The 22,185-nt window shown below is 42.8% G+C and overlaps 1 protein-coding gene across 6 annotated transcripts in view; it reads left to right on the top strand.

The window, feature by feature from the left end:
- The window catches only part of PDE6A (phosphodiesterase 6A), an 86,841-nt gene that overhangs the window by 45,021 nt on the left and 19,635 nt on the right, over positions 1-22,185 (top strand). For all 6 annotated transcript variants that reach the window (NM_001410788.1, NM_000440.3, XM_011537650.3 and 3 more), the window contains 9 exons: positions 249-398; positions 1,267-1,410; positions 2,997-3,062; positions 3,271-3,417; positions 4,483-4,590; positions 13,399-13,508; positions 14,906-14,993; positions 15,194-15,294; positions 16,237-16,344. In NM_001410788.1, coding sequence (NP_001397717.1) covers positions 249-398; positions 1,267-1,410; positions 2,997-3,062; positions 3,271-3,417; positions 4,483-4,590; positions 13,399-13,508; positions 14,906-14,993; positions 15,194-15,294; positions 16,237-16,344 — 1,022 coding nt within the window. The remainder of the gene's footprint in view (positions 1-248; positions 399-1,266; positions 1,411-2,996; positions 3,063-3,270; positions 3,418-4,482; positions 4,591-13,398; positions 13,509-14,905; positions 14,994-15,193; positions 15,295-16,236; positions 16,345-22,185) is intronic.

The following is a 22,185-nucleotide window of genomic DNA, read 5'->3' as shown; positions in this document are numbered from 1 at the left end:
GCCTGACACACACTGGCCCTGACATCTGAGGGGTGAACACAAAATGGCTACTTGGCTTAAGGAATTCCGACCAGATGGGTTATTTCTCATGGTAGTTGTCGGTAATTAAACTCATGCGAAATCCAATGAACTCCATCCTCTTGCCACCTCCTCTCAGCCAATCAGGGTCATGATGTAGGGTGAAATCTATCATCGTTGCCTCTGTGGCCTGAAACAAGAGGAAACCTAATCTAGCCCTTCTCTTGTAGAAAGAACCTCTGGATGAGTCTGGATGGATGATTAAAAATGTGCTTTCAATGCCGATTGTGAACAAGAAGGAAGAAATTGTTGGAGTGGCCACATTTTACAATCGTAAAGATGGGAAGCCCTTTGATGAAATGGATGAGACGCTCATGGAGGTATGGCTTGCTAGGAGGCCTTTTGCTGTTGGGATTCAGAGTCAGCTTGCTGGGGGAGGCTGGGTGTCACTGCGCTATCACATGGGGCAGCAACCTGGTTGCTATAACCCTGACTCTGCCTCATCAACCACTTTCTTCACTCTCACTGCTGTACTGCACTGATGTGCTGTCAGAGAAATCCACATTTCCTTTTTAAAAAATGTAATTAAGCTGAGCATGGTGGCTCTCACCTGTAATCCCAGCACTTTGAGAGGTTGAGGCAGATGAATCACTTGAGCCCAGGAACTCAAGACCAGCCTGGCCAACAGGGCAATATCCTATTTCTACAAAAAGTTAAAAAAAGATTAGCCAGGCATGGTAGCGCATATCTGTGGTCCTAGTTACTCAGGAGACTGAAGCAAGAGGATCACTTGAGCCCAAGAGGTCAAAGCTGCAGTGAGCCATGATTGTGCCATTGCAATCCATCCTGGGTGACAGAGCAAGACCCTGTCTCAAAAAAATAAAAAATAAAAAATAATTAACAAACTTTACTTTTTAGAGTAGTTTTAGGTTCTTAGCAAAATTGAGCAAAAAGTACAGCGTTCCTAGATATCCCCTATCCCCACATAGGCAAAAACACATTCTCTTTTTGTGAAGTTATTACACATAAGAATGGTACTTTCTGTATGTTAGTGCTTTATGTACAGTGTGGTCACATCCATTCCTTTATCTTAGCCTTATAAGAACTCCGCAAGGTGGGCAGCACACAGCTTATCAAACCCATTTTATAGCTGAGAAAACAGAGGCCTAGAGACTCTTGCTATGAGTTTTAGAGTCAAGATTAAACTTAGGTGTTCTGTCTCTGATTCCTCCTTTCTTTCTTTTTCAGTCTTTGACTCAATTTCTGGGCTGGTCTGTCTTAAATCCTGACACCTATGAGTCAATGAATAAACTTGAAAATAGGAAGGATATTTTCCAGGACATAGTAAAATATCATGTGAAGTGTGACAATGAAGAAATTCAGAAAATCTTGGTGTGTAATGTTCTTTACTTGTTTCTACTCTAATACAGACTGCGTCTCAGAGATGTGGCCAGATTAAGGCAAAACTTGCAACTCCATGAGGGCACAGCCTGGGCATGGGTTTGTGCACTGTTGTGTTCCTTCCTGCCTAGCACAGGGATGCAGCAGCCCTCAACATTTAATGAATGAATGAATGAATGAGTGCATGAGCAGATGAGTGCCTGAGAGTGGTACATAACGACTGCACTGTGTGGCCTGGGGACAGCTATTGCTTGCAGAAACACCTCATTCTTGGGGTCAGATGTTGGCTTGACAGCTCTAGAAACTCCATTTTTCACAGTGCTCAGGGATGACTTGCTACTGGAGACAGAGTCAACCAGCCATAGCCCCTACTCTGAGAGGAAGCTTTATCTGGAAGACCAGTAGACAATTATCAGTTTCTCAGAGCCTCCCTCCTGTGGGGTCAGCTCACTTAAAAGACCCTATTAAGTTGGGTGCAGTGGCTTACACCTATAATCTCAGCACTTTGGGAGGCCAAGGTGGTCAGATCGCTTGAGCCCAGGAGTTTGAGACCAGCCTGGGCAACACAGCGAGACCCTGTCTCTACCAAAAAAAACCCCACAAAAATTAGTCAGGCATGGTGGCGTGTGCCTGTAGTCCCAGCTACTCGGGAGGCTGAGGTGGGAGGATCACCTGAGCCCATGGAGGTCAAAGGCTGCAGTGAGCCGTGATTGCCACACCATGCTTCAGCCTGGCTGACAGAGTGAGACCAGAAAAAAAGAAAAAATAAAGACAGGCTAATGTTTTTAGAGGGCATTTCTTAAGCTGGGAAGATACCACAACAAATTTGATCATTTCATTCCAATAACTGTTAAATTCAGAAGAGAAAACATCCCGTTTAAATAAATTGCCTCATGGTTTGCTTGACTCAGTCCACAGTTTCAGCCAAAGAATGGGTATGTGCAACCTATCGGGGCACAGCCTCGGTGAACCAGTTACAAGTTAACAAATTTTGCTCTGGGTCAAGAAATCAGGAGCAAGTAACTGGGTCCAGTTCCCCCTCCTCTGGCACATGGGGACACAGGCCCAGAGAGAGAAGGAACTTGCCTCAAGTTACACAGTAAATGAGAGGAAGAACTAGGACTATGTCCAAGGCCTCCTTACTCCCAGTCAGTAATAGTAACAATGAAACTATCAACAACAACATTAATTTATGTTAGTGCTTACTATGCGCCAAGCACTGTGCTAAGTGCTTTATATGGATTATTTAATTTTACATATGTTACTTGAGAATGACTTTTCACAATTAAATTTTAATTCACCAGTTAAGTATGTTTATTATCCTCAACTTACAGATGAGGAAACTGAAGATCAGAAGCATTAATAACACGGCTAGTAAGTGGTAGAGCTTGAATTTGAATGCAGGTCTCTATGGCTCTAAAGCCCAGGACCTTGTGCATCAATGGATGTTAAATGGAATCCTCTTTGAGCTGGTGGTTCTGTTGCAAGGACTTTGGAGGAAGGAGATAAATGGGAATGGAAACGCGGAGGCATGTTGTAACCTATTTTTTTTCCCCTGCCATTTTGGGTCCTGGCAGAAAACCAGAGAGGTGTATGGGAAGGAGCCATGGGAGTGTGAGGAAGAGGAGCTGGCTGAGATCCTGGTGAGCTGAACCGGGGCAGCACGAGCCCCGATGTATAACAAGTGCAAAGTGCTCCTGAGCATGCAGGGGTTTCTCCTTGCAAAGCATGTTCCCCATCACTCTGTTCTGATCCTTCCAGCAGACCCAGGATGGGGACAGGGCTGGACAGGAGGTGGGCACCCAGAAACACTTCATGTTTCCTAATCACCTGACTCTATTCCTTATACAGCAAGCGGAGCTGCCAGATGCAGATAAATACGAAATTAATAAATTTCACTTCAGTGACTTACCCCTAACAGAACTGGAGCTGGTAAAATGTGGAATACAGATGTATTATGAGCTCAAAGTGGTGGATAAATTTCACATTCCACAAGAGGTGAGGTCAAAACAAATATATATGATTTCCCTTTTTAATTTTCTTTCTTGCTTGCTTTAAAAAAAAGACTCAATCTGTAAACTACCTTAAAAAGAGTTTACTCTCAGTATTTAGGATTTAAAGAATTAGTCATGTTGCACAGATGAGTCATTTATAAGAAAAGAGACACGCTGTTCCTCTGTGTCCTGTGAAGTGTGATGTTTTGGGTGCGTTGGTTTCTTGCAGTGGGTTCTGAGGTACTAAGCCCTGAAGGCTGGGAATAGATATGCTGCAAAAAATGGGTCCTATAGTTAAATGAGGGCAGAAAATGTGGGCTAAACCCATTTAAACAGGGCTCATTCCCTGCAGGATTCCTTACTAAGGTTTGCTGTGAGTCTAGGGTCATGGGGGACGGCAGAGAAGGTATGTGTGGGAGGCAGTGGGATATGATATGCAGAATTGCCTGAACTTGTTTGATTTTGATTAAAGCAGTGGTTCTCAAAGTGTTACCCCAGACCACATCCACACCACCTAAGAACTTATCAGAAATTCACATTCTTCTTTTTCTCTCTCTCTCTCTCCTCTTTCTCTCTCTCTCTCACACACACAGACACACACACACACACACTCCCAGCTCTGATAAATCAGAAACTGTTTTAACAAGTCCTCCAAGTGAGTCTCATGCACACGCAAGTTTGAGAACCACTGGATAAAAGAGTCCTTTTGTTTTTGTTTTTTTTTTCCCTGTAGAGCCCTTGTTAGCTTCTCCAAGGATAGTTGCTCTCCAGGGCACAGTTCGGGAATTACTGATGAAGCTCAGTCAGAGGAATGATGCATGCTCACCTCGTTTCCTAACAACAACAACAACATCTTCTTAGTATTTAGCATTTAGTATTTGCAAAGCACTTTCGCAGCATGATTGCATCTAGTACAAGCTCTCACCTCCTGGTCCAATGATGGGGTTAGAGTACCTCAAACCTCAAAAGAGAGGGCCATGGGCCATGCCTTCTTCATATTTTTGTTATTCCAACCCTCATGAGACCATTTCAGGTGTGTCCTGCCTCACTGATGTGCATGTGTTCACAGGCCCTGGTGCGGTTCATGTACTCCCTGAGTAAGGGCTACCGCAAGATCACCTACCACAACTGGCGGCACGGCTTCAACGTGGGGCAGACCATGTTCTCCCTGCTGGTGGTATGGCGGGGCCGGTGGGGCTGGTAGGGTGGGCTTGCATCACACTAGACAATCTCATGCAGACTCTACATGGTAGCAACAGCGTTGTTCTTCTTTCTTTATTTATTGTCTTTTAAGAGTTATGTGAAAGCAGTACGGGCTTAGTGTAAAAGGATTCCAAGAATAGAGATGCATATAAAATAAAAAGTGAAAGAAAGCTGCAAGCTACCCCCAACCTCAGTCAGGTTATTTGGGGGTAACCATGTCACAAGTATAAAAGTAGTTCAACAGGGCCGCCTGTAATCCCAACACTTTGGGATGCCGAGGCGGGTGGATCACGAGGTCAGGAGTTCAAGACCAGCCTGGCCAAGATGGTGAAACCCCATCTCTACTAAAAATACAAAAATTAGCTGGGCGTGGTGGCGGGCACCTGTAATCCCAGCTACTTGGGAGGCTGAGGCAGAGAATTCCTTGAACCCGGGAGGCAGAGGTTGCAGTGAGCCAAGATCGCGCCACTGCACTCCAGCCTGGTGACAGAGTGAGACTCTGTCTCAAAAAAAAAAAAAAAAAAAAATTCAACAGTTCAATTGGTCATGGTTATAGTCTTTGCTTGGGGGCATAATGACAATTAGGAACATATTTCATTTTTAAATGGCCTGTTATAAAGAGGTATCCATTTCTGTAGTTAGCCTGGCAATGCAAGTCATAGTAATGTGGAAATCCACTTAAAATAAATAAATAAAGATTAGAAAACCTTGAAATAGAAAAGTTTGCCATTCACCATTCGAGATGCCTCCAAACCACCTGTTAGCTGCTCCCATAAACACATCATGTGTTCTTTTCCCCAGAGAAATTTTCTGAAATTTCCTTAAATTGTGGCAGTGTCTAGAGAAACAGCAGTATCAGCCACCTTTAAATTAAGCTTCCTGTAGTACTAAAATCAGAGAAAAGATAAGTGCAACATTCAGTTTTGTTCAGCCTCATACACAAGCCCCAACAAGGACAAAAAGGAGGTCTAAAGCTGCATCATGTTCCATTAGGTGTTTCCATGAATCTTCTCATCCACTTTTTAGAGAGTTGCTTCTACCTGTCTGAACACTGGGAGGCCTGATTGACTATAAAATCCAAGATTTCCCTCTAATGTATAATCAGCTTTAAATTCCCTATAACTGGTACCCCTCTACCAGCAAGAGTGAGCCCCCAGGAGCCCCATTGGAAACTTTCCTCAGTAGACACTAACTTATATTCATCTATTTTGAGGTCATTAGTAATTCTGGTTATTGATTGCTTTGGCCTCTGATTGTGGGAGTTATTATGGGAACTTTCAGGGGCAAGCTATCTGGGAGCATGAGTGAGCCTGGCCAAATAACAAGTTCTGAACCATCAGGGAGACAGAACAGAGTAAGCAAACCCAATATAAGCCCTTGGGACTGGAAAAGAGGCCAGCTAGTGATGCATGAACAGAGTTCAGTTAAGTCTGTCCACTCATAAGTCTGCATAGCTCCTGAACAGGGTCCAGTGAGACACTTACTTTTTTGTAGTCCCTTCATAGCATACTGTAAGGTTGCATAACCATATTTAGTGGAAAGAAACCTTACTGGATTTAATCCAGTGACATCCTACAAGCAATTACTCATACCCACATAGGTAGTCTCCAGGTCTTGACTATACAATACCTGAAAGCAGGATATACCTTTTGTAGGCATCACTTAGATGGGTTTTCTATATTTGGCAGTGATTAGGTTATTAATTAGAAAGGTCAGAGTACGGTTTCCTTCATGATGGCAGAGAAGTCTTGATCTATGATCCCTGTCTAGAATGCCATCTGTTTCTGTGGAAAACCTTCCCTGGTTAGCTTTACCCGAAGGAGTCCAACAGGTGTATACTTCCAGGAATCTGGAGGGACCTTTTGAATTGAGAGATGTAGATCCAAGACTCAAGGCCCTAAAGTTTTGCGGTAGAGAAGAACTTGGTATGGTCGCGTCCAATGGAGTTCAAGAGCAGTCTTCCTTTGGTGTAATTTCCAAAAGACCTAATCTTTGGGTTCTAGATCATGAAAGATCTGGTTGTCATCAACTGGTGGGTCACAAAGGGCTTCTTTAACCTGATGAAAATATGCTTTGGCATAATGCACTAAAGTTCTGCACTACTGAGTCACGTCAGAGTTTATAAAAGTGGAAGATAAATGAGGTTCTCTTACCAGGGGCATACACCTTCCTGTAACTATTTCGTATGGGGCCAATCTGTTTTTCAGCAGGAGTGGATCTGATTGCCATCAATTGAGAATACCTTTGACCAAGGCAATCCAATTGATTCAGTTAGCTTTGCCTAATGCAATTGTGTTTAAAATATCTTTGTAAATGGTTTTACGATGTGTCTAGTGAAATGAGTATCTCTTTATCTCTATCTATAAATTTTATACAGGCTGGGTGCAGTGGCTCACACCTGTAATCTCAACACTTTGGGAGGCTTAGGTAGGTGGAATGTTTGAGCCCAGGAGTTCGAGGTCAGCCTGTGAAACTCCATCACTACAAAAAGTACAAAAATTAGCCAGGTATGGTGGCGCACGCCTGTGGTCCCAGCTACTCAGGGAGTAAGGCAGGAGGATCCTTTGAACACAGGAGGCTGAGGCTGCAGTGAGCTGTGATGGCACAACTGCACTACAGCCTGGGTGACAGAGTGAATCATTGTCTCAAAAAAAAAAAAAAAAGGAAAGAAAAGAAAAGAAAATGTCATACAATTTCTGAAACACATATTAATAACATATCCATAGACTATAACTCAAACAAAGCTTAGCATTATTATTTGACAGTGCTTCCAGAAAAGTCTCTGGAGATTTTCTCAAGAATTCCTCACAAGGGAAAAACATTTTTTTAAGTTTTTTTTTTGATTTGAGCTCCTACTCTGTTGCCCAGTCCGGAAAGCAGTGATGTGATCATAGCTGAATGCAGCCTCAAACTCCTGGGTTCAAGTGATCCTCCCATCTCAGCCTCCCAAGTAGCTAAAACTACAGACAAGTACCACCATGCCTGGCTGATTTATTTATTTTGTTTTTTAGAGAGATGGGGGGTCTCACTATGTTGCCATGGTCTTGAACTCCTGGCCTCAAGTGATCCTCCTGCTGCAGTCTCCCAAGTTGCTGGAATTATAGGCACAAGCTATTAAACTCAGTGAAAAAATATTTTCTAATAGCTTTTTAAGTAGTGTTATAGCATCAGCCTTCCTGTATGGGAACGGTTCTATAAAACCAGAAAAGAAGCACTAAAGGAGCAGTTAAGTGAAATCCATTTGTAAGTGTTCAGATGATCCAGTGGGTGCTGGAAATGTGTTGCCTGAGATTTTTATTGTCTTGCTAGAATTATGAGTTTGACAAACCAAACTTTTTTTTTCCTTTTTTTTTTGAGATAGGGTCTTGCTCTGTTGCCTAGGCTAAAGTGCAGTAATGTCATTATGGCTCACTGTAGCCTTGACCTCTCAGGCTCAAGCAATCTTCCCATCTCAGCCTCCCAAGTAGCTGGGTCAACAGACACTCACTGCCATGCTGGGCTAATTTTTAAATTGTTTTGAAAAGACAGGGTCTCACTATGTTGCCCAGGCTGGTCTTGAACTCTTGGGCTCAAGTGATCCTCCTGCCTTGGCCTCCTAAAGATCTGGGATTTTAGGTGTGAGTTACCACGCCTGGCCCCAAACATTTCTTGAAACCATTTCAGCAATTCTACTTATTTATTTATTTTGAAATGGAATCTCGCTCTGTCGCCCAGGCTGGAGTACAGCGATGTGATCTCGGCTCACTGCAACCTCCATCTCCCAGGTTCAAGTGATTCTTCTGCCTCAGCCTCCCCAGTAGCTGGGATTACAGGCACGCGTCACCACCCCTGGCTAATTTTTGTATTTTTTGTAGAGACGGGGTTTCATCATGTTGGCCAGGCTGGTCTCGAACTCCTGACCTCAGGTGATCTGCCCACCTCGGCCTCCCAAAGGGCTGGGATTACAGGCACCAGCCTCCGCACCCAGCCCATTTTAGCAATTTTAGAGCAGTCACCTTGTCACTATTTTGTCATCATTTCTGTCATTTTATCTCTTCCATGATGAGTCATGGAGTGCAGTAATCTAATAATGGAAGCTTTAAGGACTCAAGAAGGATGAGGAGGCCATCGGGACTCCTTATGAGTCCACACTTAACATTGGATTTACATCCTTTTAAATACCAATTTCATTTCTCCAATTCAGGTGCATAGCACTGTTTATTAAATAGGTTATCATAGGTAACTTGACTTGGATCAATGTTTGGAGTTCATTAAAATTGTATATCTCACCAATTTCAGTACTGGCTGACTTAGCATAAAAATCTGCCAAATCATTTGTTTTAATTTTCAATTATTTTTTATTCTGCTTAATACTGAGTTAGCAGTTTTATGAACCAGTTTCTTCACTGGAATTCTGGAAATTCTTCCCCAGTCCAATGGTATGATCTTATGAAGAAGAAACACTTTAGGCTTAGAGTTGCTCAGGAAAGTAGCAGAGTGAAAAACCACCTGTGGATGACAAGACTTTACATGGTCATGGTTAAAGATCTCATGAGAGTTCATTACAATAATGACACAATTGACAAGGAAATTTGGTTATTTCCGTTGCAAACATTTTAAGACAATAACTAAAATTGTGACTGATAGTGTTATACCAGGAATACTAGATTTCTATGAATTTTATACAGTTTCTGAAACACATATTAATAACACATCTTTAGAATACAACTTGAAGATTTAGCATTAATTGTATTTGACAATGCTTCCCATATAATTTAATATATAAAATAAGCCTAATTAGTTTAATGTCTCTCTTTTTACAAGAAGAGATATCTTTTTGAGATGTTCTAAGGGTTCATCTGAAAAATTCCAAAGTTAATTTGCAGTCAAGAAAAATACTTAATTTAGAATATGATTTTGGGGCCAGACGCAGTGGCTCATGCCTGTAATCTCAGCACTTTGGGAGACTGAGGTAGGTGGATCATTTGAGGTCAGGAGTTCAAGACTAGCCTGCCCAACATGGTGAAACCCCATCTCTACCAAAAATATTTTAAAAATTAGCCTAGTGTGGTGGTGTGTCTGTAATCCCGGCTACTCAGGAGGGTGAGGCAGGAGAATCACTTGAATCTGGGAGGCAGAGGTTGCAGTGAGTTGAGATCGTGCCACTGCACTCCAGCCTGGACAACAAAGCAAGACTCTGTCTCAAAAAAAAAAAAAAAATGAATATGACTTTGGGAAGTTTCTAAATGCTTGAATTTTTTTTTTTTTTTTGAGACAGAGTCTTGTTCTGTCACCCAGGCTGGAGTGCAGTGGCATGATCTCAGCTCACTGCAACCTCTGCTTCCTGGGTTCAAGCGATTCTCCTGTCTCAGCCTCCCCAGTAACTGGGATTACAGGTGCGTGCCACCGGGCCAAGCTAACTTTTTGTACTTTTAGTAGAGACGATATTTCACCATGTTGCCGAGGCTGATCTCGAACTCCTGACCTCAAGTTATCCGCTTGCCTCAGCCTCCCAGAGTGCTGGGATTACAGGCATGAGCCACTGCATCCAGCCCAAAATAAGATAATTTAGCCTAGTGTGGTGGCATGCGCCAGTAGTCCCAGCTACTCAGGAGGCTGAGATGGGAGGATTGCTTGAGCCCAGGAGGTCCAAACCGCAGTGAGTTTTGATTGCACCAGTGCACTCTAGCCTGGGTGACAGAGCGAGACTCTGTCTCAAAACAAAAATAAAATAAGATAAATAATAAATAAATAAATAAAAATACAGAAAGTTAAATACTTATAGAAAGACCTTAGCTCTTTTAATAAAGAAAACAGTTTTCTTAAGTGATCAAAAACCTAATAAAGGCAACCTGGAGTACAGGAAATTAATTTGGTAAAGCACAGAATCTTTGTTTCCTAGGTCAATTACCTAAAAGATAAATTTCCTGTTAACAGCAGACCAATACTCAAAGAAAATTTGTTGTTTTAAAAGAGAGGTCCAAGTTCTAGTTTTGCATCAGTGTACTTTTGACATCAATGTTCAAGATAGCATTAATTTCAAAATTTTAGAAAAACTTCAAACAATTTTCTTCTGATCTTTTTTTTTTTTTTTTTGAGACAGAGTCTCACTCTGTCGCCCAGGCTGGAGTGCAGTGGCACATCTCAGCTCATTGCAAGCTCTGCCTCCCGGGTTCACGCCATTCTCCTGCCTCAGCCTCCCGAGTAGCTGGGACTACAGGCGCCCGCCACCATGCCTGGCTAATTTTTTGTATTTTTAGTAGAGACGGGGTTTCACTGTGTTAGCCAGGATGGTCTCGATCTCCTGACCTCGTGATCCGCCCGCCTCGGCCTCCCAAAGTGCTGGGATTACAGGCGTGAGCCACCGCACCCAGCCATTTTCTTCCAATCTTAGCCAGCTTCATCACACATACAATTACTTTCACAAGATTTATCTTCCACAAGCCTTCTACAACTTTCTTATCCATTCAACTTTTTCCTATACTTTTTCCTCTTCTCATTTTGGAGTAACCAGTTATCCTACATTAGGACAAAAGTTTCTCTTTTCACCCTTAACAAAATAAAACATCCTCATATCTTATAGCTTTTTCTTACCAAAAGCAGTTTTTGCCCTCTTGTATAATTGCTTATAGAATTGTTTCCCTTATTATTTTATTAATAATATATTAATTATTAGTTATTAATATATTATAAATAACATATTAATTATGTGTTAAGAATTCTAAATAAAGAAATATATATTAATATATGTTAATATATCCTTATATTAATTAGAATTCTTAACCCTTAGTGACCTTAATTTCCAGTGAACACTAGGAAGCAAGCAAAAATTGTGAACTGTCTGTCACACCAGCAATCTGTAGATCAATCGTCTGTGAATAATAATTTCTAGAAGCATGTAGTTCCCCATAGTACAATCTGTCACTGTGGCACAGAAAATTTTTAGTAACAGTCCCAAATATTTTTAGTCTCTTGGTAATAAGAAATTGTAGAGGAGGCAACATTTAATCTCTATCCTCTTAGATCTTTTTTTACTTTTGAGATATGATCTTGCTCTGTCACACAGGCTGGAGTGCAGTGCTGAGAACACACGGCTCACTGCAGCCTTGACCTCCTGGGCTCAAGCGATCCTCCCACCTCACCCTCCCACATGTTAGGTTTTGAAGGGAAGGCGAGGGTTAAAGAAAGACACACACACACACACACACAGAAAGAGGGCGGCTCAAGAGCAAATGCAGGCTTTACGCCCAGCATAAAATCTACAGAAGTAGGAACCAGCCTAATGCCAGAGCCCACCGCTGCTTACAGGCTGGTGGTACTTATAGGTATGGGCGGGAGGGGTCTGGGCAGTATGGCTTGTTGCCTGGCAGGCTATTGATAAGATGTTCTCATGATGAGGCGGTTTTGCTTTTGTCTCGGTGGGATGCCATTGTGGTGTTTCTTGGACTTTTGCCCAGCAAGATATGATAGGAATGTTTCTTTAGTTGGGCCTTTGTCTGCCTTGTGGTCAGGTGGTTAGGAAGGCTGTTTCTCCCGACCCAAACCCCCATGAAATGTTTCACTTTGACCAAGGTCTGCAAAATAATGGGGAGCTTACAAAATGGTGCAGTTGGGACTAACACCAGGTAGCCGAGACCACAGGTATGTGCCACCATGTCCACATAAATTTTTAGTTTTGTAGAGACAGGGTCTGGCTGTGTTGCCTAAGCTGATCTTGAATTCTTAGGCTCAAGTGGTCCTCCTACCTTGGCCTCCCAAAGTGCTGCCATGTGTGACCTGCCATGCCTGGCCCTGTCTTATTTTTTGTTTCTTTCATCTTGACTATTCTATGCACCTCATATACAGTGAGGTGAAATCATACAGTATTCGTCCTTTCGTGTCTGGCATATTTCACTTAACATAACATTTTTGAGGCTTATCCATGATACAATTTTGTGGCTGCATAGTGTTCTATTGTTGGACTTGGAAGTCTTTTCAATCTTTCACTATTACAAACAGTGCCACAATATCCTTGGATGGACTTATCTTTGTGTATTTGTGTTCGTATTTTTCACTGAGAGGGTTCGGAGACTTTTATGTTTTATTTCAAGTTATTTCCCCATCCAGATCATGATGCAAATCCCTGCCCTTCCTCAACATCATCCCTTCCCCCTTGGCTGAAATGGTCAGGCCAGAGTAGGTGCTAGGGCCCGGAAGCAGGAATTCTGACCAGGCTACCTTAAAGGGTGACAGGAACACCACTTAGAGTGATTGCTTTCATAAAGTCAGCATCAGCTCTCCAGAGCACTTTCCCACATTTGGTTTCAACACCCAGCATCAACAAGGAGTTAAGTGTCTGGCAAAATCCCAGGGAAGGATTCCTCCAGGCTGTGCTTAAACCAGTAGACCACGTTTGGAAGATTTGCTTTACCAGCCTGGCCATGTTCAGAAACTCTCCAAATCCTAAAACCTGACTTCTACAAGTTTCTCAAAATTCATCTGATCCAATATGCTCGACCCTCATTATGGAGATTGGGCTACCGAGGTTCAGAGGGAGATGAGACCAGCTAAGGTCAACTCAGAAATAGGGTGACCAGTTGTTCCCATTTACCTGGGACTTTCCCCATTCTAGCACTGAAAGTCCCATATCCAAAAAACCCCTCAGCCCTGGGCAGTCCTCTGGTCAGCCTCTGGAGCCAGGATACAGCCAAGATCAGACCCATGAGTTTTTTAGTTCTGGGCCCTCCTCCTTACACCCGCCTTTTCAGCCCTGCTTCCAGCCCCTACACAAAAGGAATGATTTGCACTCTGATTGCCCTTCCAGACGGGAAAGCTGAAGCGCTACTTCACGGACCTAGAGGCCTTGGCCATGGTCACTGCTGCTTTCTGCCATGACATTGACCACAGAGGCACCAATAACCTCTACCAGATGAAGTGAGTCAGCCTCCCTCCCCACACCCAACCCTCCGGATTCATTATCCAGCTCTGTGTGGCTCCCAGGCAGACTCACTGGCCAACAGGGAAGTCTTGTGGTCCACAGCTTCCCACCGCCTTCTGCCCTTGGGATCCGGGTCTCCTCCTGTAGCAGGCAGAATAATGACCACCACAAAGATGTCCAGATCTCAAATCCCTGAGCTGGGGAATATGTTGCCTTACATACAAAAGGGACTGTGCAGATGTGATTAAGTCGAGGATCTTGAGATACAGGGATTATTCATTCGAGTGGGCCCCATGTAGTCCCAATGGTCCTTATAAGAGGGAAGCAAGAGGTCAGAGAGGAAAGAAGATGCTACCCTGCTGGCTTTGAAGATGGAGGCATGGCCTACAAGCAAGGAATGCAGGTGGCCTCTAGAAGCTCAAAAGAGCAAGGAAACGGATTCTCCTCTGGAGCTTCCAGAAGGAAAGCAGCCCTAAGGACCCATTTCAGACTCCATACAGAGCTGTAAAATAATAAATTTTATTGCTTTAAGCCATTAAGTTTGTGGCAGTTTGTTATAGCAGCCATAGAAAATGAATGCATTAAACTCCTGTACTTGTCTCCTTCCTTGTCCTACCTGCTGCACTAATTTGAGCCAAGATGTTAATAACCAGTAATGGTTCATTCACTCATCTCGTATTTACAGTGCTTCTAATATAGTGTGGTAGGCTCTATGCCAGGCAAAAAAGGTGCTCTGATGAGCAAAACAGCTCCTGTCCTTACAGAGCTTATATTTCAGACAGCCCATAAAGCATAGTCCTTGAACCATGATCTCATTGGATCCTCACAACCACCCAGTGGGCTGGGCAGAGCAGGGGCTAATGTTATCCCTACTTACAGATGAGAAAACTGAGTCTCCGCTCAGGGCCGATGGCCTGTAAGTCATTAACAAGCTCTGAATTCATGCTGCTGAGTCTTCTCAATACTTTCATGCTGCTCTGGGGCTAGAGATTGGGTTTACATTTTACATTTTGAGAATCTAAATACTTAGCACAGTGTGTGGCACATAGCAAGTGCTCAACAAATAATTATTGAATGCAGAAATGAATAAATACACGGCTTGCGGAAATTCAGTTGTTTCCTTCAAGACTTGGATGTGAAGAATCAGGGCTAGATGATCTTGAAGCATGGCCCAGTGCTAATGTCCCTAAAATCCCTTATGGCATTGTGTGTGTTTGTGGCTTTCTCTGGGGAAGGGGTCCATGCTATTTAGTAGATTCTCTAATGAGTTCACGACCCAAAAGTAACTCGGAATCACTTGTGGAGAAGGCTGAAGACTGAGTCAGGAGACTTGATGTTTAGTCCTAATTTTCTATTGTCCACTCCATATTGATTCTCTCTCTTTCTCATTCAGATCCCAGAACCCACTGGCCAAGCTCCATGGGTCCTCTATCTTGGAAAGACACCACTTGGAGTTTGGCAAAACACTGCTCAGAGACGAGGTAGGATGAGGGCCAAGGGTCTACAGGCCGCGGGGCCTGGATCAGAGGCTCTATTTCACAAGGAGCCTGAGTGTGCCCAGGGAGCATTCTTCCCATTGGCCTGGGCTGCCTCTGCCATCATCTGGGGTGGCCATTGGTAGGTGGGTGACTTTACTGCCAGCATCAATTCTCTCCCATCTCGCTTCTCTTTTTTTCTTTAGAGCCTGAATATCTTTCAAAACCTCAATCGTCGACAGCATGAGCATGCCATCCACATGATGGACATTGCAATCATTGCCACAGACCTCGCCCTGTATTTCAAGTTGGTATATCTTCTCATTCTAATAGTAAAAGCAACAATGATTATATGTATGCATATATATATATACACACATATATATACATATATACACATATATATACACACATATATACATATATACACATATATACACACATATATATACATATATACACATATATACATATATACACATATATACATATATACACATATATACACATATATACATATATATACACATATATATACACATATATCTACACATATATATGTGTGTGTGTATATATATATATATATTTTTTTTTTTTCTTTTTTGAGACAGGATCTCACTCTGTTGCCCAGGCTAGAGTGCGGTGGCACCATCACAGCTCACTGCTTCCTGGGCTCAAGGGATCCTCCCACCTCAGCCTCCTGAGTGGCTGGGACTACAGGAACACCACCACTCCTGGATAATTTTTTAATTTGCTGTAAAGATGGGTTCTCACTATGTTACCCAGGCTGATCTAAAACTCCTGGTCTCAAGCCATCCTTCTGCCTCAGCCTCCCAAAGTATTGGGATTACAGGCATGAGCCACTGCACCCAGCAACAATATAATAACAATAATAATAACAAACATCATAGTTCCAATTAATTTAGCATATACTATGTGTCAGGCACAACACGTGTGTTATGGACACATTGATTCTTGCTACAAGCCTGTGAGTTAGATATCATTACCCCCGCTGTACAGATGGGAACACTGAGATTCAGGACAAGAGATTTGCTAAGAGTAGATAACAAATCAGTGGCAGAGACTTAGGTTAAACCTAGGTCTTCACTCCTGGGCCTTGGCTCTTTCAACCTTGTTTTGTGAATTTTGTTGATTTAATAAGGCTCCATCTGAATCAGCCAATGTTAGCAGCTCAGGTGTTGCCTTATTCTAAGACTTGCTCCCTTTACTAGACTGATATGTTTTGTAGGAAGAGGACGATGTTCCAAAAGATCGTGGATCAGTCTAAGACATATGAGAGTGAACAGGAGTGGACACAGTACATGATGCTGGAGCAGACACGGAAGGAAATCGTTATGTGAGTTGGGATGGGGTTAAAACCTGATCCTCTTAGGCTTAGGATCATGAGGCGAGATGCACTGACAGCTCTTGCTGCCCTCAACAAGCCTTGGGACTATTTCATTTTGGAGGCCTTCAACATATGAAAAAAATGAAGTTATGCCAAATTCCAATTGCACAAGCCACATGTTTAATCTTTATTTTAGCACTAAAAATGCAAGACAGTGTATTATTGTTTTATTTATCTGAATAAAAAAATATGTTATTTGAAGTAGTTCAATCATAATATCTAAGATTTGGGTGGTAAACTGATATAACTTTTAAGTTTTTGATACAACGGAAAGCACTATAGCAATTAAGGGGTTTTTGTTTTGTTTTGTTTTTTGTTTTGAGACAGAGTCTCGCTCTGTCGCCCAGGCTGGAGTGTAGTGGTGCGATCTCGGCTTACTGCAACTTCCGCCTCCCAGGTTCAAGCAATTCTCCTGCCTCAGCCTGCCTAGTAGCTGGGATTACAGTCACCCACCACCACGCCCAGCTAATTTTTGTATTTTTAGTCGAGACCGGGTTTTGCCATGTTGCCTAGGCTGGTTTTAAACTCCTGACCTCAAGTGATACACCCACCTCTGTCTCTCAAAGTGCTGGGATTATAGGCGTGAGCCATCATGCCCGGCCCGAATTAAAGTTTGAGTGATAGTTAATGTGTTATTCAAAACATATAGGCTTAATTTTTAACGTATTCCTTTACATAGGACAATATCCCACAATATAGCTGTGCTAGTCACAAATTGGTTATGGTTGGTATGAAATTTACAGTGCATGGTCTGGCATGGTTGGTAATGGGACTCAAATTTAAGTTGTCTGGTGAATGTCTTTTTTCAGTTTTCTCAGTGTGCTTCCATGATTCACCTCAATTGACAATGGGGTGAGAAGTGTAAATTTGAGGCCTTTTATGAATATGTGGCCCAAGCCAAATGGTCCCCTGGCTCCTCTGTGATGGGTCCTGGGCATTGAAGGCAATGGTCAGGAAAAGTTGCAGGGGAGACAAGGCTGACTAGTTGCCTAGGAAGCATTGGGTTATTTGTTTATCCCCAGATGCTTCTGTGGAAATGAGGCTTGATTAAGTCACAAGCATTGCAAATGTCTGCAACAGAGAAGAGGAGACCACTGGGACAGGCTCCGGAAACGGGGGGGGCAGCAGCAAGTTGCCACTCCTTCAGCCCTGCAGTTGTCCAACCAGGCCTCCCACAAAGGTCCCCTGATTCTGGGAGCAGTGCAATCTGCTTTCACTGAACAAGGGGGCATGCTCAGCCCACAGTTACTCATAGACTGGCCAGGAGCTGCCCCCCTGGACATTTTATTTATTTATTTATTTATTTATTTATTTATTTATTTATTTTTGAGACAGGGTCTTGCTCTATTGCCCAGGCTGGAGTGCAGTGGCGATCAGGGCTCACTGCAGCCTCAACCTTCCAGGCTCAAGCAATCCCCTCACCTCAGCCTCCTTAGTAGTTGGGACTACAGGCACACGCACTATACCTGGCTAATTTTTGTAATTTTGGTAGAAACAGGTTTTGCCATGTTGCCTAGGCTGGTTTTGAACTCCTGAGCTTAAGCCATCCACCCTCCTTGGCCTCCCAAAGTGTTGAGATTACAAGTGTGAGCCACCACGTCCAGCCACATTTATTTATTTATAATTTCAACTTTTATTATACATTAAAGAATGCATGGGCAGGTTTGTTACATGGGTATATTGTGTGACACTGAGGTTTGGGGTACAAACGATCCTCACGCAGGTAGTGAGCATAGCACTCAGTATGTGGTTTTCTGGCCCACACTCTCCTCCGTCTCCCCTTGTGTAGTCCCCAGTATCTATTGTTGACATCTTTGTGTCCATGTATATGTAATGTTTATCTCACACCTGTAAGTGAGAATATGCAGTATTTGGTTTTCCATTCTTGTGTTAATTTGCTTAAGATAATGGCCTCCAACACCATCCCTGTTGCTGCAAAGGCTATGATTTTGTTCTTTTTTATGGCTGTGTAGTATTCCATGGCACGTATGGAACACATTTTCTTTATCTAATCCACCGTTGATGAGCACCTAGGTTGATTCCATGTTTTGCTATTGTGAATAGTGCTGTGATGAACATGTTAGGGCATGTGTCTTTTTGGTAGAACTCTTTGTTTTCTTTTGGATACACACCCAGTAATGAGATGTTGGGTCGAATGGTAATTCTACTTGAAGTTCTTTGAGGAAACTCCAAACTGCTTTCCACAGTGGCTGAACTAGTTTACATTCTCACCAGCAGTGCATAAGGATTCCTTTTTCTCCACAGCCTTACCAGCATCTGTTATGTTTTGATTTTTCTTTTCTTTTCTTTTTTCTGAGACGGTGTCTCACTCTGTCACCCAGGCTGGAGTACAGCAGCACGATCTCGGCTCACTGCAACCTGCACCTCCTGGGTTCAAGCAATTCTCGTGCCTCAGCCTCCACAGTAGCTGGGACTACAGGCACCCGCCACCATTCCCAGCTAAATTTTTTTGTATTTTTTGGTAGAGACGGGGTTTCACCATGTTGGCTAGATTGGTCTCAAACTCCTGACCTCAAGTGATCTGCCTGTCTCAGCCTTCCAAAGTACCCAGCCTTCTTTTGACTTTTTAATAATTGCCATTGTGACTGGTGCCAGACAGTATCTCATTTTGGTTATTTATTTATTGACTTTTGCTTGTGCTTTTCTTTTTTTGAGATGGAGTCTCGCTCTGTTGCCCAGGATGGAATGCAATCTCGGCTCACTGCAACTTCCACTTCCCGAGTTCAAGGGCTTCTCCTGCCTCAGCCTCCTGAGTAGCTGGGATTACAGGCATGCGACACCATGCCCGGCTAATTTTTTTTGTATTTTTAGTAGAGACGGGGTTTCATCATGTTGGTCAGGCTGGTCTCGAACTCCTGACCTCGTGATCCGCCCACCTCGGCCTCCTAAAAGTGCTGGGATTACAGGTGTGAGCCACCACCCCCAGCTGACTTCTGTTTTTTCCTAATGTTTTTCTTTTTTTGACTTCCATAGCTGGACATTTCAAAATGGCTCAGCAGAAGGACTAAATCATTGAAAGGAACACCCTGCTATTGGATAGGGGGACTTGATTTAGAAAGTTGTCTATTCTCCCTAATTTTAATTTATTCATTTAAGGGTGATTCCAAAACAAATCAAGCAACCAACCAACAAACAAACAAAAAAACCCTGCTTTATTCTGGGGGAATTAGGAAGCTGATTGAAAAATTCTTATGAGAAATGAGTATGCAAGAATAACCAGAAAAAGAAAAAAGATAAAAAAGAATAGCCAGAAAATTCTGACATGGAAGAGTAATAATGGTGACCAGCAGAACTAAAGGCAGTTCTGTCCTAGGCAGGAGAAGTCGTTCAGATCAATGGGATGAACTTAAGGACTATGTCTGTGTTCAAAGTGGGTTTTATACTAGTGGAGAAAGGTGTAAGTTCATCAGTGGTTTTGGGACAATGGGATGGCCATGAAGTTAGATCTCTATCTCATTCCTTATACCAAAATAAACTCCAGATGTAATAAAAATTTTTAAATAACCAGGGAAAGAAAAGAGAGCACGAAAAAAGCATGGAAGAATTAAGGAAATGTGGCACATATACACCATGGAATACTATGCAGCCATAAAAAATGTTGAGTTCATGTCCTTTGTAGGGACATGGATGAAATTGGAAATCATCATTCTCAGTAAACTATCGCAAGAACAAAAAACCAAACACCACATATTCTCACTCATAGGTGGGAATTGAACAATGAGATCACATGGACACAGGAAGGGGAATATCACACTCTGGGGACTGTTGTGGGGTGGGGGGAGGGGGGAGGGATAGCATTGGGAGATATACCTAATGCTAGATGACGAGTTAGTGGGTGCAGTGCACCAGCATGGCACATGTATACATATGTAACTAACCTGCACAAGGTGCACATGTACCCTAAAACTTAAAGTATAATAACAATAATAAAAAAAAAACCTAAAAAAAAAAAATTTCAGAGCGAGCTTTTCAAAATGTGACATGAGGCTGGGCACAGTGGCTCATGCCTGTAATCCCAACACTTTGGGAGGCTGAGGCAGGCGGATCACCTGAGGTCTGAAGTTGGAGACCAGTCTGGCCAACATGGTGAAACGCCATCTCTACTAAAAATACAAAAATTATCTAGGCGAGGTAGCAGGCGCCTGTAATCCCAGCTACTTGGGAAGCTGAAGCAGGAGAGTGGCTTGAATGTGGGAGGTGGAGGTTGCTGTGAGCCGAGACTGCACCACTGCACTCCAGCCTGGGTGACAGAGCAAGACTCCATCTCAAGATAGATAGATAAATAAATAAATAAATAAAACAAAATAAAATAAACATAAATAAAATATGACATGAAAATCGTAAGTCATAAAATTAGATGGAGAAATCTGACTATGAAAAATTAAGGATTTCTGTACAACACACAAAAACACATAGTCTAAATAGGAAAGTAAGTGATAAGCTGGAGGTAAATATTTGCACCACTTCTAAGAGAAAAAGAGCTAATTTCCTCAGTGAATAAAGTGTTAATATGATTCCAGGAAAAGACTAATCCAATAGAAAATGGGCAAAAGGCACAAACCGACAGTTCCCAGAAAAGTTACAGTGGGATATAAACCTATGAAAAGACGGTGATTATAAAACTACAATGAGGTATAATTGTTAACTCCTATTGTCAAAGATGAAAACATTTGCTTACATACTGTGTCGGGCAGAGTGAGGGAAAGGGCCACCTCGTTCCCCATGCGGGAGTGTAAACAGGCTCAGTCTTTGCAGAGGGCGATTTGGCAACACCTATCAAAGCTGTAAGTGCTCATGCCCTTTGACTCAGCAATCCCACTTCCAGGATTTCCCCTCCAGATATTCTCCCACATGTGCACCAAGTGTATGTACAGAATTGTTTGTTGCAGCATTGTCTGTAACACAAACAGGATTGAAAACAATCGAAATACCTAGCAATGGGGAACCAGGTTAAATAAACGATAACACTTTCATACAATGGAATATCTTACAGATTTGCAAAGAAATGACATCAAATGAAAGGAATTATGTTTAATTTTAAAAGAAAAAAAAAAGCCAGGAGCAGGATCTCAATCATTGTCAAAGTCAAGGTGACCTTACGTAGGCATCTTCAGCTGACGGCACACATACCCCTCTGGGAACTCATGTCCTTCCAAGATGTATATCAGCATAGATAGCCTTAAGGGAATCAGCATTTTCTTTTGTAATATTAATCTTCCTGAGAAAGAAGCAGCCCAGTAGGCACAGCATTCTCTCATTCTTCCCCACCTTACAAAATAAAGGCAAACTCCATTCTTTCTTGAATCTTCCCACATTGCATTGTCGTAGAGACAAAAACCTCTGGGCAGCCAAACGGAGGGACTATTTGAAATACAGTCATCCCTGGGTATACTCAGGGGATCGGCTCCAGGACCCCCTAGTATACCAAAATTGGTACAAACTCAAGTCCTGCAGTAGCCCTGAAAACCCCTTGGATGTGAAGAGTCGGCCCCTCCCCACATGGGTTTTGCATCCTGCAATCCATGTTCAGTTGAAAAAAATTCATGTGTAAATGGACCTGCATAGTTCAAACCTGTGTTGTTTGAGAGTCCACCATACTGGTGGTGTCACAGCCTCTTATAATTAAGGCATTATAAATCTAAGGAAGGGGCTGGGCCCGGTGGCCATGCCTGTAATCCCAGCCCTTTGGGAGGCCAAGGCAGGTGGATCACTTGAGGTCAGGAGTTCGAGACCAGTCTGGCCGACATGGGGAGTCTCCATCTCTACTAA

The sequence above is a fragment of the Homo sapiens genome, chromosome 5 (genome assembly GCF_000001405.40).
Source record: "Homo sapiens chromosome 5, GRCh38.p14 Primary Assembly".
Classification (NCBI taxonomy): domain Eukaryota; kingdom Metazoa; phylum Chordata; class Mammalia; order Primates; family Hominidae; genus Homo; species Homo sapiens.
Note: the sequence above shows the minus strand (reverse complement) of the source record. Positions and strands in the feature narration are given on the sequence as shown.